Here is a 15,814-nt window from a genome sequence, read left to right on the forward strand (position 1 = left end):
GTATTGTAATGATGTATCAGAAAATGGAGAACCCCCTAAACATCCAATAGTACATGACTCAATAAATCATGTTGTACATCATGATAGAATATTGTACAGCCATTAAAATGGTATTGTCAGAGATTATATTAGTAGGCTTAGAAAACACAATAAAATAAGGGTAGAAAGAAGAATACAAAGTATTACATATGAAGTGGTTTCAGTTTTTTTCAAAGTAAAAATAGTCATACAAAAAGGACTAGAGAGAAACCCATCAAATATTAATAGTAGTTAACTCAAGGTTGTGGAATTATTGGTATTATTTATGGCTTTTTCTTCAAACATTTCCCCCCAAATTTTCTACAGGGATGCATCATTTATAGTGGAAAAATTTAGTTCTTAAAACATAAATATATACAGTAGTTCCCCTGTTATCTGCAGGAGATACTGTTGAAGACTCCCAGTGGATGCCAGAAACTACCATGGATAGTGCAGAACAATATATATGCTGGGTTTTTTCAATCCGATAACCGAGATGGCTGTTAAGTGACGAATGGGCAGGTAGTGTATGCAGCATGGATCCACTGGACAAAGGGATGGTTTGTGTCCCACGTGGGATGGAGCAAGACAGCGTGAGATTTCATCACAGTACTCAGAACAGTGTGTGATATAAAACTTGTTTATTTATAGAATTTTCCATTTAATATTTTCAGACCAAGATTGATTGTGGGTAACTGAAACCGTGGAAAGTGAAACAGCACATAAGCGGGGACTACCATAGCACCCTATTTTTACAACCCTTAACTTATTTGTCTCTTCCAAGTTCCAGAGGGCAGGGATATTCTCTATTAGTCTTGTTCTCTGCTTATCCTCAGTGACTCAAACAGTGCTTGGTACATTGTAGTTACTCAATAAATATTTGTTGAATGAAGCCAGCGTTTGGGGTGTCTGGCCCAGCTAAAGATAAATAGCAAAATGTAAAAATAGCTGAGTTAGGGACCCAAGTCCCTAAGTTTGGAGTGGGCAGCAAGGAAAGATGTGAGATCCAAAATCTGAGCACAGAGCTAGAAGGCAAAGTGTGGGATTCAAACAAGAAAAGGGAAAACGGAGCATGTAGAAGACCTGAAAACGCGGCTGAGCAACTGGAGTAGGACAGTGGAAGCTCCTCCTGCAAGTGTTGTGCAGGACACGGTCCTGCCTCGTCTCACACAAAGATGACAAGATTAGGCTACAAAGGCAACTTCAATCTTCTCTAAAAATACAGAATTTTATAGGGCATATTCTCATCACAAGGTAATAATGACTTTAAAAACTGAACGTGAAGAAAAGGCAAAACAATAGTCATAATCACTTGAGAACTAACTCCCTAATTAAGGGGAATTTTTTTAAAAAAAGATTTTAGACATAAACATTGAGAATACTACATATCAAACCTGTGGGCTTTGGCAAACTTTTAAATGCTTTCTATTATATACCAAAAAATTTTAAAGAGTAAGTAAGCTTAGTCTTTAATTTAAAGAACTAGAAAAGGAACAAATAAATAGAGGAACATGGAACTGATCATGATAAAGGCAAATTTTAATAAACTAAAAAGGAAAAAATGATAGAATTAATAAATGAAGAGCTATATCTTTGAAAAAACAAGTAGACAAGCCTGTGGCAGGTTTAATTAAGAAAATTAGAAAAAATACTTAAAACAGTAGATTTGAAAAGATGTAGCCACAGATACGGAGGAGGCTAGGTCCACTTTGAGGATGATGTATATTTTGGGAGAGAATAACTTTTTCTGTTCTAAGACTGTTTTAAAAGAGTCGCTGTTGGTTTGGAGTTTTTAAAAGTTGTTGACTAATATTATAAAAACTTTTCTTTTTAAAAGAAAGCATCACTGAGATATGATCCAGTCAGTATTTATAATATAATTATTAAAATGTCTTTGAGTTTCTCTGATGTGTTCTAATTGCATCTGTAGTTGTAGATTTCATTCAATGAGTTCTTACCCAGAGAACATTCAATTATAGTGTCAGTTTGTTGAGGGCTTATGATCCTGTAATTTTTGAGGGAGAATTCCTCAGTGTAACTGACATTGAACAGATTTTGATGGACCAGTTAATTTTAGTTAAAGGGTGGTATAAATTCACTGCGTGATATATACCAAGTAATTTGAACTCTCAACAGAGGGTCACATTTCCTCCTCTTTCAGGCAGTTTTGTGAAGTGTGATGCACCAGTAGGTAAAAATACTTTAGGACTTGCTAATGAAAGACAGTGTGTACAGAATCTGCTTTTCTAGCACATATTTTTATAGATGTTGAAAATGCTCTTGTCAAACAGTATTTTAAAAACTGTCAGGTGTATGTGTGTTTTTCAAATGAGTTTTAAATAATTCAGTACTATGCAGGCAGCAGAAAAATGACTTTATAAACTTGCAATGCTCTTTTGTATTGAATGTGCAAGTAGAGTCTATGAATTAAAAATGAATACTATCTGATCCATCTTTTTACTAATAACCAATGTAGTGTTGATGGAAATTTATTGTTTACTAATGTTTGGTATTTTTCCATTAAAGAATAACCTTAAAGTCATTTAAACAGATACAACACGTATGCAGATGGTGAAGTAGTTTTCTAATAGAAGTCCTGTCTGGTTTATACAGCTTGATGGCCGACTCAGGGTGGCCTCCTTCCCTTTTCTTCCCTACTATGAGCTGCTGAATCGGAAGTGAGGACATGTTAGACATGGAAGATAGTTTACTTCTAGTGAGTAAGTGTTAGATTCCTTAGTGCTTGCCCATACAGCCACGTAGTTGGTGAGCAGCATTGGTGGAATATTTAAACTTCCCTCCCTAATTACACTGAGGAATTTTCCCTCAAAAGTTACAGGATCATAAGCCCTCGACAAACGGATGCTATAATTGAGTGTTCTCTGGGTAAGAACTTACTGAATAAAATCTACAACTTCAGATGTGATAGTGTTACAGAAATTAGAATAGATCAAAAATTCAGACTTTAAAAAATTGTGTATTAAATACTGTTTGGATCATGAAATCTCAGTGAGGTTTTTTTTTTTCAAAAATTCAGTTTTAATAATATTAGTTATAAACTTAAAAATCCAAACCACCAGTGACTCCTGTAAAAAAGGTCTAGAGTGTCTAATTGGGAGTGAAAACCTAAGGATCAGACTATTATGAGTCTTACCACATTTTTCATTGACTCATTTGTCCTAATTCTCATCTTTATCCTGACCTTTGTGTCTTGTTTTTTTTTTCTTTTTAAGGTGTGGCAAGGGAAAAACTTATGTTTGTGAAAAGGCTATGTGTAAAGCATAGTACTGTGTACATTTCTTTCTTTGCCAAAGGGCAGTGAAGAACTCTGGTTTTTCTAAAGGGAGACACATTTTCTTTTTTATCATTATTGTTATGTCTACAATTTGGTTTTGTTTTCCTCAATCAGGTATTTTACATGAATAACAATTGTGTTAGTCACGATCAGGAGTTATCAAATCTCTGGTCTGAGAATCTGCACGTTAGGAATTAAACAACTTCCATGGCAAGTGATTTAAGGTGTATTTGCAGGAATTGCCACAGAGAGGGTTGTAGTTGGATACAGAAAGGGTGAAAACGTGTCTGGGAACATTAAGTTCAAAGCTTTTTACCTTGCAGCAGTAATTTTAAAGATTTGCCCCAAGAAACTGTAAACGTTCATTTAAAATTCATAAATTCCACTTCAGCATCTCTGAGTGCACTGCCTGTGATTGCTATCCAGGGTCTTGAGCATGCTGACTGTGTACTGTTTAACACACATGGTTTGTCGTGGTATTTCCCATGCTGCTGGACTGACTTGTTCTGCTTATTCAGTCTGAAGGGACTCATCAGAGCTGTTGTCACCCATTCGGCTAGAGGTGGACTGCCCAAGTAATGAGAGAGGTGTTCTTTATGTGCTCTGCATTATTTCAGGGTCCTCTTCAGAGATCTTTATTTTTAACAATGGCTTGAGGTCCCCCTTTGATCAGGGTTTTATACATTTTCACGTTAGTTGCGATTGAGTTTTCTTAAAGTTCAGCTAAGAACCAACAGTAAAATAAGGGTTGAAGGGGAAAAGGATAACAAAAGATCTCAGAAAATAATAAAGGAGATTAAAACTATCTGGTGAAACAAAACCTCGTAGCAGACTTGAAGGCATGTAGTGTTTTTGGAAAAGTTTTGTTGAGGAATACAAATTAGAAATCAGTAGATTTCATTTTCTCAAAGTGTTTTGTGGGTCAAAACATATTGTTAGACTTGTGTTTCCATAAACAGTTATATGGCTTCTAGTCAGACTTTTGCTTGTTCTCATGTTCTGCATTACAGATTATAAACCCTAATTATACTTTTCCAGACATATAGATGCCGAGCAAAGGCCAGCCGAAGGTATATCCATCAGGGATGAAGTACTGGGAATGGTTTCCTTATTGAATTCTCCTTCTTTCAGCACACTTTTTTGAGTGCCACTCCCTCTTCCTCCTAGCTCTGTACTTCATAGTCCTAGGCCCTTGATTCAATTACTTTTCTAAGTATCAGTCTCTCATCTGTAAAATGAGACCAATAATAGTACCCATGTCATGGACTTGTTGGGAAAATTAAAAGATTGCACAAGACAAATGCTGAAGTCTGTGTCTGGCTGATGGGCAGGGTGCTACCATTTCCGTGTCCCTGACCCATCACCTGCAGGTACAAGGTGAGGGTTGCTAAAGCTCAAGCCAGTCAGAGCACGTCCAAGTCTTCCAGAACTGTGTAAATCATGGAATCCCCTTGAAAGTGTTTGCTGACAATTTACTGAATAAAATAACTACAGATTTTAGAGAGCCCTTTAAAAGACCTAATAAGTGAGTACTTAAAAATAGTGTGTCTGTTTTTAAAACAGTGAGATGTTTGAGTTTTGACTCACATTTTGTTTACCTGCAACGTGTCAGCCATTCTACAGGATTCTTTAGTATGTATTTTCTCTTTTAATTCTTACAATATTTTTATTATCTCCTGCACATGAGGAATGGAGCTATATCTGTTAGAAGGTTCTGGGAATTCATTCAGTGATGAACATCTGCATTAGTATTTCTTCAGTGTAGTAACATTCTTCTTGACTCTTATTAGAATCATCAGGTCCTCCATTCCACCTGTGGTCTGCCTACCCTGGAGCTGAAATAGAGTGTTTAGCCAAATGCTCTTTGAGAGATTGAGGCCTGCTGGATTCTATAATGCCTCTGTCATCTTTTGTCACCTTGGCTAGGAGTCCTTTGGTTACAATTTAAAGAAACCCAGTTCTTTGTGTTACATACATTCCAATTATGCTCTTTTAGTTATTTTAAAATGCTTGGATGAATGATACCCCATTTACCCTGATGTGATTATTAAGCATTGTATACCCATATCCAAATATTTCATATATTCCATAAATATATATTCCTATTATGTACCCATAAAAATTTAAAATAAAATTTTTTTAAAAAGTAAAAAACCCAGCTCAAGCAAACCTGATCAAAGAAAAGGACACTATTAAAATTTCTAATGGTGTACTTTAAGGTTCCAGGAGCTTCAGATATGATGAAACTCAGATTCTTACTGTCATTAGGATTCTGTTTCTCCCTCCTGGCTCTATCTCACTAACCACCCACCCCCAACGCCTGTTTTGGCTTTTGTATTAGTTATCTATTGCTATGTAACAAATGATCTCAAATCCAGTAGCTTAAAACAACCACATTTACTATCCCACAGTGTTTAATAGGTCAGGAGTCTAGGTATGGCTTATCTGGGTCCTTGGTTTCGGGCTCTCTCAAGACTGCAACAAAGGTGTCAGTACAGAAATCTCATATGAAGGCTTGACTGGGGAAGGCTCCAATGCCAGCTCCTGTGGTTGTGGGAGGAATTCAATTCCTTCTGTGTTGTTGGACTAAGAGCCTCACTGTTGGCTGGAGGCTGCCCTCAGTTCGTTGCCACTTGACTCTCTCCCTAAGGCAGCTCACAATGTGGTACCTTCCTTCAGCAAAGAAGAGTCTGCTAGTGAGGCAGAAATTACAGTCTTATGTAATATTAATAGCATAATCATAGAAGTGACTTGTATTCTGTTGATTAGAAACAATTCACAGGTTCCACCTATGCTCATTGGCAGAGGGGTTATCCAAGGAGTGAATACCCAGGAATCAGGGATCACCAGGGGTCATCTGAAAGTCTGTCTGCCCAGTTTCATTCTCAGAAGAGTTCTCTCCACATGGTGACAGAGCTGACATCAGCAGCTCCTACATCCTAATGCTAGCAATCCTAGAGAAAATGCAGCTACTGTCTCCCTGGCATTTGTATAAGTATCTGTACCCAACCAATAGAATTCTTGGTTGGAAACCCTAGAAATAAACTCTGGCAAACTGAACCATAAAAAGACTTATCGGAAGGATATCAGATAGCTTCTAATATTTTTGAGAATACTGAAGACCTGGGCTGGAAGAACCTGTAAGAACTGGCAGGATGCTTGTTGCCATTGGTCAGTGCTTCACTGGACTGTCATCACTAGACTTTGTATTAGATACAAAGGGTATCTGATTGGCCAGTGCAGGTCGCATGCCTGTGCTCTGGCTGCCAGGAAGCTGAGGGACTATCTGCACCTCTTGAGCCTCCACTGGAGGTGGGGCTGTGTTTCTTTGACTGTGACACTGTGCTGAGATGAGCCCATAGGGGTCACCTGGCTTCACTAGGGTGACTTTTGTTCACAAATGTTCAGCCTAGCAGCTTGTATTGCATAAGCAGATTCAGCTCAAATGGGCAGATTTTAGAACTTTCTAGCTAGCATTTCTATGCTGTTTGTTTAACATTAACTGTGCCTTACAGACATACCAGTAAAGCTGCTACAGAGTAGTATGTGATGTTGATGGCATGTTAAGGTCTCTGAGTCATGTAGTAGATGGGGCATGTCTGTTTTTCATAGTCAGAATTTTTATTCATACCAGATTTAACCACAAGCAGAATTTACTTTTTCTGAAATTATGGGCTAACTTTGCAATGCAGTTTTTGTCCTAATCTTGATGTTGGCTCTAGGAATTCAGGGATTATCTTAACTTTTTACTTTCATCATCTTTGGCCATGTGCATATGACTTTTTGTACATGCGATACACTGACTTGAGGTATCAGGTTTTTATAAGTACAAAGAACTTGTGAATCTTTTGAAATAAGTTCATGTTTCCTTGCATGCATTTTCAAAGCTATACTTAATTCTTATGCAGCATTGCAGTAGAATAGAATAAGTAAGACCAACTTACCAAGAAGGGAAACAGATGCCACTTCTATGGGGTAATTTGTGAGGTGTAGTCTTGCCTACTCTCGAAATGTTTTTCTTATTGGCCCAATATGGCAACTGAAATCTCACCATTAGAACTCAAATTTTGGGTGAAGATCAATGCATCTCAACCTGAACACGTTGGAATTTCCTGGGGAATTAAAAACAACATTTCAAAAAAATCACTAAACAGAAAAAAAAACCAATGTCAGGACCTTACCCCAGAGCAACGTTGCGTAATTTCTGGGAGTAGGGCCCAAGGAGCAGTAAATTGTAAAACTTCTTTAAGGGATTCTAAAGTGCAGCCAGGATTGAGAACCAGCAGATCAAGAGTAGAACCTGGGAAGGGCAGTGCATTCATTCATGTTATGATGTGTACAAGGAAATACAGTAGACAGCATTTCCACAGTTCCAGTTGAGACTATTTCCTGCCATCTTTTCTTCTTCATGTGTCTGTATGATGAACTTCCTTTAACAAAGATCAATAAGTCAGAGAGTCCATCTACCATAGGGCCATGGAATTTCTAGCTATGGCATTGCTTGTGAAAATACCTCCAAAAGACTGAACTCATGGGAATATCTATTTGCTTCATACCAGTAGCACATGTTAAAATCAGGCTATAAACAGTCGAACTTCTCTTTCATTTTATATTTACTTTCTGGAGATATTGTGCAAATGATCATTGATGTGGTATCCAGAAATATTTTTGTCTATAGTAATAGCAGATGGCAGAGCATTTTTCATGTGCCAAGTCGCATTTATTCTGCTACAGTACAATGTGGAAGTGATCATGGCCTCTTTCAAATATTCAACTCCCCATGTGCATTTCAGTTGTGGTGGGAACTTTTATTGCGTATCAGTTCAATATGTTATAGATTGACTTGGAATCCTTGGAATTTTTGCATAGTATAGTCACATGAGAAGTACTTTGAAAAGAAATAGTTTCGAAGCCTCATGATTAAAAGTCATCAATTCAGCAAACATTTAATAAGCATATTTTGTGTGCTAAGCCAGTGGTTTTCCACTGGGATGGGTGGCTTTGTCCCCAGGAGGGATTTTGGAAATTTGCAGGGTTGTTCTTAGTAATCCTAATGATTAGCAGGGGTGCTACTGGCATTTGGGGTGCAGGGGCCAAAGGTACTAGCTGTCTCACAGCTTACAGGACAGACCTCCACGATAAAAATAGTCCTCTACACACAGCACTACTGACCCCCAGTCTGTCGAAAGGACATTCTTGTAAATGAAAAACCTGTTTGTGGTTATCTGAGCCTAAAACCTAAGTGTGCTTTTCAAATAAAGAGCAGTTTTTGGGGGGACATGGATTTAACATACAGTGACTTTTCCAGGAAAATTATATTAATAAATTAAATTGTAAATGTAAAGTGAGGGAAAGTTGTACTTTGCTTTATTTGGAATTAAGAGTTTTTTAACCTCACGTAAACTCACATTACCCACGGAACCTTGAATGTGGTACTTGAGTCACAAAAAGCCTGCATCTGTAACCACCTGCATTCGTTATTCCCATATTTATGAGGATTCCACACAGAGGTGCAAGCTAAGGGCTACTTTATATGTCTCCTGCTGGTGGTGTGCCTGAGCATTTGTAATTCATATTATTTTTATTTTTATTTTTTGAGACAGAGTCTCACTGTGTTGCCAGGGTTGGAGTACATTGAGATCATCTTAGCTCACAGCAACTTCTGCCTCTTGGGCTCAAGTGATTCTCCTGCCTCAGCTTCCCAAGTAGCTGAGATTTACAGGCGTGCACCACCACACATGGCAAATTTTTGTATTTTTAGTAGAGATGGGGTTTCACCATGTTGGCCAGGCTGGTCTCGATCTCCTGATGTCAAGTGATCTGCCTGCCTCGGCCTCCCAAAGTGCTTGGATTGCAGGCGTGAGCCACTGCACCCAGCCTATAATTCATAATATTTTATTTTATTACTTTTTATTCTTATTTTTTAGCTAGGATATTATGTTGACTTGTGATTGTGTGTTTGTATATGTGTCTGTGTACACAAAGTGTACAAGATGTGTTATTCACAAATTTTATTTCAAGAAGGAACATTACAAAATATTTAGGCTATAAGGTGGTATTGGGTGTGATTGGGTTGAAAGTCACCGGATTAAGTAGCAGGGTGATGTCAGACAAATCAATGGACAGGGAAACTTTAGCATGCTAGAGGAGCACAGAGGCCACTGCAGTATCCAGAGGAGCAGCCTCTGCCAAGTCCTGAGGGAGTGTGGTCACACTGGCCCGGGATGATCAGGAGCTGGGGGACATGGAGGGCAAAAGGAATGGCACATACAAAGTCCTGAAGGGTGGATGCTTAGCGTTGGTGAGTGGCTAGAGCCCAGGGTGTGGTAGGGCTGAGCCCTGGCAGAAGGGAGAGAGAAGGCTGGAGAGGCAGACAGAAGTCCATGAAGAGCCTAACAAATCTTGCTTGCATTTTATTGTAGAGACACTGGGGAGCTACCAAAGGGCTTCTGGGCTAGGATCAGGTTTGCTGGTTAGACAGACACGCTTGTCACAGTGGTGAAAATGGGCTAGATGAGGGCACGGTTACATGAGCCAGGGTGAAGCCTGAGCTAGGCAACCATGGGGTAGACTGCTGGGCTAACACCTTTGCAGGCCATGTGAACCTTTCTGAGCTCTCCTGCTGCCTAGCAGCAGTCAGCCCTGCAGTCTCACCCCAGTAGCTGTGCTCCTGACCACTTTTCTAAGAGGTTGGGGTGTGGGTGGGAAGGGGTGTTGCAGAGAAGATGGAGAGGATTGTGGTCGGTGGGAGCTACTCAGCATGGAATATAGAAGATACAGGGTAGGGAACTCTAGGATGTGTCTGGTTACATGAAGTGTCTGAGGAAAAGAACACTAACCTCACAGAATCTCACTGACTCTTTAACCTCTGTGCCCAATTAAGGGAGTCGGGGGAGATTCTTGTCCAGTTATTTTGTGTGATTTCACTTACCTTTGCTTTTATTTAATTTAGGACAACCTGCCATTTTGTTCTGAAGATTTGAATAGCAACACAGATCCTAAAGAAGCTTAGTAATACTGCAAAGCTAATGATTATGACTTTCATCCAGAGCACTATTTAGAAACACTTGCCTGTGCCAAATGGAGGAAGGTGTTCTTAACAACTCACCCCAGCAACAGCAAAACTATTTAGGCTTATCCACCACATTGATGAGAGAAGTACTGTTCTTAAAATGAGAGCCTTGCTCGGTGTCTTTTCCCTTTGCATTTAAAAATAAATGAAATTACTGAAACACTATTATAAGAAGTTTGGAAAATAAGAGGGATGTTACCTTCCCCACATATTATCTATTAATATTTTTTATGTATTTCCTTTAAATCTTGTTTTTAGATATGTTTATGTATATTTGTGTGTCTGCATAATATGTTATATGTATAAATATGTAACATTATAACTGTATACAATTATTCTAGGAATCAACACATGAAATATGGGAGCAACATTTTGAATCATTCTTCCCTCTCAGCTTCCAACTTGCGACCTAGTTACCTTCTGATTAGATGTCTCTATTTTGTTGTCTCATAGGCCTCTCAAAGCAAAGAAAACAACTGAGTTCTTGCATTGTCTCTCACCCTAGCCTTTCCTTTTCCCAATCTTCTGCATCTCAGTAAATGCTTCCACTATCCATTTAGTTGCACAAGCCAGAAGCCTAGATTTCTTCCTTTCCCTCACCCTCTACACTGAGTCCATCAGCAAGTCCTTTTATCTCTGCCTCCAAAATACATCCCAGATCTATCTATTACCCTTCCCTGGAATAGAAGCAGTCCTATCAAGATCTGTTGTAGTAGTATTAATATTTCTGTAATCCACTGCCACCACCTCCTTCCAAGCTGCCATCATCTTTTACCGGGACTACATTATTCTCCTTACCTGTCTTCTGCTTAATTTGGCCATTCTTACTTCTCTAGGGTCTGTTCTCTCAGCAGGTGGAATAGATCACTCCTAAAAATGCTCCTGTTTGGAATCCTCCAGTGGCCTTCCATTGTACTTAGAAAACAACTCAAGTTCTTTACTATGGCACATAAGGCACATGGCACACAGGCCTTATGTACCGTGAGTTTCTAAATCCGTGCAGCACCCTGTGCCCATATTTCTTGCTTACTATTAGTTATCTCAAAAATTTTTTTTTTGAGGCAGAGTCCCCACTATCACCCAGGCTGGAGTATAGTGGCACCATCTCGGCTCACTACAACCTCTGTCCCCGGGGTTCAAGTGATTCTCCTGCCTCAGCTTCCCAAGTAGCTGGGACAACAGGCACGTGCCACCATGCCTGGCTAATCTTTGTATTTTCAGTAGAGATGGGGTTTCACCATGTTGACCAGGCTGGTCTCGAACTCCTGACCTCAGGTAATCCACCTGCCTCGGCCTCCCAAATGCTAGGTTTACAGGTGTGAGCCATCGTGCCTGGCCATCTGAATGTTTTAAAATACCAAATTCTTCCTGCCTCAAGCTGCTACATATGTGCTTGTAGCTGCCTGAATCTTCCATTCCCACTTCTGAGCATGCTAGCTCCAGATCCTGCAGTGCCACTTAAATGACACCTCCTTGAGAAGCCATCCCAGACAGTTCTGGGTAAAGTAGACTTGCTTTCTTACACTTAACAGTTTGAGGTGTGTGTGTCTGTCTGTCTGTCTGTCTGTCTGTCTGTCCATCTGTCTCCTCCACTCTAGATTTTAAGCTCCAGGAGGTAAGGACCTTGTTTGTCTTGTTAGTGTAATAGTCACTAAATATTTGATGAGTGAATGAATGAATATGTCTTAGTCCATTTAGTGTTGCTATAAAAAAATACCTGAATCTGGGTAATTTATAAAGAGAAGAGGTTTATTTAGCTCACAGTTCTACCAGCTGGAAAGTTCAAAACTGAGCCTCTGCTGAAGGCCTCAGGCTACTTCCACTCATGGTGGAAGGTGAAGGGGAACCAGTTTGTGCAAAGACCACATGGCGAGAGAGGAAGAAGTAAGACAGGCAGTGCCATGCTTTCTTTAAGAACCAGCTCTGGGCCGGGTGTGGTGGCTCATGCCTTTAATCCCAGCGCTTTGGGAGGCCGAGGCGGGTGGATCACTGAGGTCAGGAGTTCGAGACCAGCCTGACCAACATGGCGAAACCCTGTCTCTACTAAAAAAACAAACAAACAAAAATTAGCTGGGTGTGTTGGCATGCACCTGCAATCTCAGTTACTCGGGAGGCTGAGGCAGGAGAATCACTTGAACCCAGGAGGTAGAGGTTGCAATGAGCCGAGATTGCGCCATTGTACTCCAGCCTAGGCAACAAGAGCAAAACTCCGTCTCAAAAAACAAAACAACAACAACAACAACAAAACAAACAAAAACCAGCCCTGGCGGGAACTATTAAAAGTGAGATCTCATTCACCCGCAAGGGAGGACATTAATCTATTCATGAGAGATCTGCCCTCATGACCCAGTCACCTCCCATTAGGCCCTACCTCCCTATACTCCTACAAGGAGGATTAAATTTCATCATGAGTTTTGGAGGGGACAAACCTCAAAGCCATGGCAGAATGCGACCTACTTGAACCAGCTCAGGGAATTGTCTTATTAGCAGGCGTAGGGACATGGAATTGAGAGCCAAGGAATTGCTAAACATTGTCTGTTATCTTGGAAGCTCTTTTGTAAAAGAGGCTTCTGCTATTGCAATACCCTTGTTTTTGTCCAGATTCTTTTTGTCTGGACCTCAAGTAAATGTCAGTGGTCAGCTTCTATCCCCGTGTCTGCAGTTGGTGCCATGTTTAATAAATCATCATGGATTGTAGAGGGTGCGTTGTCAGTATAGCTGCCTTTGGGGCACATAATATTGGAAGATGGCTAGGTTTTACTTCTGAGGACAAAGGTGCAGGGAGCAAGGGATGCATGGTAGAGAGCATGTAGACCAGGTCATTCAATCATGCTGGTATCATGGTTGAAGGAGGCATCAAGGACAGAAAACAAGAAGTTTAAAAACAGTTTCTGTTAAGAAGAAGCAATCCTGTCAGAATCTTTCCTAGTGGCCTTAGTGTTCAAAAACCTGAAAAATTTGTATTACATCTCATTGCTAGTACTGCGAATCTGGGACCATTTATTAAGATCCCCAAACCCCAGAGCTTCTGATCAGTGCAGCCCCTACCTGCTATTAACTGCTTTTACAGGAAGAAATCGTGGAGAGTACAATAGGCCACTTCTAGCTGACTGCCTCTTACCTTACCTTGTTCCTTTACCTTGTCCAACACTGTGTCTCCAAGTTGCGTCCTTAATGAGGTCATTTGCTCTGCATACATTGTGAGATTATGTCTTAGAGTATTACATTTTCTGCTTTCTGAGCTATGCTTGAGAGGACAACCTCTTCAACTGTGGAAAGAATTTGCCATTTAATAGAGGAGGGCCTTTATAGCTTGTCACAGCTTTCAGTCACAGATCCAGTTTTTGATTCTGTCACAGTGGCACATGAGAGCAGGAACATTTTGCATAACCACTTAACTCAGCGTTACAATAGCCTCTTAAATGGATGAGGAGCAGCTTAAGCTGGCTTGATGGGAAAGAACACTGTCTGTTGGTGTTAATAATATTCGTATTTAGTTTGCATAACTTAGATCCACAATAATATCTTAATCTTAGTTTTGCTCCAAAATTGCCTTTCTACTATCACTATCCCATATAAATAATGTATAGCAACATTGATTTGATTGTAACCCTTTCATATTTTATTAAAATTTTTTTCTGTAAACATATATTGAGCACCCCCTCTGTGTCAGGAAATACACAAGTGCTGCATATCTAGAGGTCCACTGGACAAAAAATAATGGGTGAGGATTTTCAGAATTGTAAAAGCACATGAGACCTCATGTTGAAAAACACAGCACATCTTAGCAGGTTAAATAAATCTGCAACTAGCTACAGTGATTGTGGTATAAAGACAGTATGTCCAAAATAAAGAGAAAATCTTTGAAAACTGAAGAAAAAGACAGATTGCCTACAGAGGAATGACTTTCCAACTGACAGTACATTTATTATCAGCAGCAGTAGATCCTATACCTGTCATCAAAATAGGATGCTGAAATAAAAACCTTTTAGGACATACAGAGACTAGGATAATTTTTTACTCTCAAATATTAACTGAAAGAACTATGAAACATTGTATTTTGGCAAGGAGGAAACTGAACCCAGAAATAGGTTGCACCATTACAGAAGCAATGACACAACAAGGAATTTGGACAATAAGTTAATGAACTTGAGTAATCAGAATAAATGGCTTCCTCTGTGCCGCCATGATTTGAGTACTAGCAAGATGTTTTCCAGTTAAATACAGAATTACTTTGGTTTGGTGCTGATGTCTGAAATTCTTGTTTGTGATGAATTATTCACCTCAATCAAGGGTTTTTAAGAAGGGGTCCATGGATGGAGTTCAAGGTATCTATGAACATCCTAAAATTACAGGTAACGCACTTTGTGTATACACAGTTTTTCTGAAGACAGGCTTGTTGGCTCTCATCAGGCGCTTAAAGGTACTTGGAATTTGAATTAGTTTAAGAACTACTGGATTAAGTTATTGTTCCTTATTAAAGTGAAATTACATCAATACTTACCTTGCTCTCAAGTTGAGATACATGATCTGAATTTGAATCGTGACGTTATTGGTTACCTTGCAGAATCACTGTGACCCTGGAAAAATTATTTTTCTTCTCATTGTAGTCTGAGTGTGCATTGTATGATCTGTGTAGCTAAAGGCAGCAGTGGTGTGCCTGGCCCCTGTGACTGTATGTCAGTATCACAGTCAGTATTTGATTATAGTTACGATTTTTCTAAAGAGAGTCACTATTAAGCTAACAGAAGAAATAAAGCTTTTAAGTTACCAATTTTAGGATATAATAATATATTTATTGTTTTGTTAATTGAACATATATTTTGTGTAATACACTGTCCAAGCGTATGTAGTGGGGTGGACAGGGGGAGGCTGTGTTCAGTCATTATCTATACCAGTGAGATTTCCTGCTAAAACAAGTATTAACTGGTGACCATGTGCAACTTGTATTTTCCCCCCAGCTTTATTGAGGCATCACTGACAAATAAATGTTGTATATGTTTAAGGTGTATAATGTGATCTTTTGTTGTACATACACATTGTGGAGTGAGTACCATGACCAAGCTAATTAATATATCTGTTACTTCAAGTAGTTAGCATTTTTGTGTGTATGGTGAGAACACTCAAGATGTACTCTCCTAGTAAATTTCAAGTGTACAATGTAATGTATTATTATTAACTCTACTCACCATGCTGTATATTAGCTCTCTTACTTATTCATCGTATAACTGAAAGTTTGTAGCCTTTGATCAACATCCCCCTATTTCTCCCATCCCTAGTTCCTGGCAACCACTGTTCTACTGTTTCTATGAGTTTGACTTCTTTAGAGTCCACATATGAGTGAGATCATACAGTATTTGTCTTTTTGTATCTGGCTTATTTCATTTAGGAAAATGCCATCTAGATTTGTCCGTGTTGTCTTAAATGGC

The 15,814-nt window shown here is 39.3% G+C and overlaps 1 protein-coding gene across 39 annotated transcripts in view; it reads left to right on the top strand.

Annotated features, from left to right (window-relative positions):
- RHBDD1 (rhomboid domain containing 1) overlaps window positions 1–15,814 on the top strand; it is a 199,052-nt gene that overhangs the window by 85,220 nt on the left and 98,018 nt on the right. For 2 of the 39 annotated variants that reach the window (XM_047446007.1, XM_047446006.1), the window contains exon 4: window positions 10,266–10,550. The exons of the other annotated variants lie outside the window; for them this stretch is intronic. In XM_047446007.1, coding sequence (XP_047301963.1) covers window positions 10,266–10,296 — 31 coding nt within the window. In that variant the 3' untranslated portion in view covers window positions 10,297–10,550. Of the gene's footprint in view, window positions 1–10,265; window positions 10,551–15,814 lie in introns of those variants that run through there. 39 annotated transcript variants of the gene reach the window in all.

The sequence above is a fragment of the Homo sapiens genome, chromosome 2, assembly GCF_000001405.40.
Source record: "Homo sapiens chromosome 2, GRCh38.p14 Primary Assembly".
NCBI lineage: Eukaryota > Metazoa > Chordata > Mammalia > Primates > Hominidae > Homo > Homo sapiens.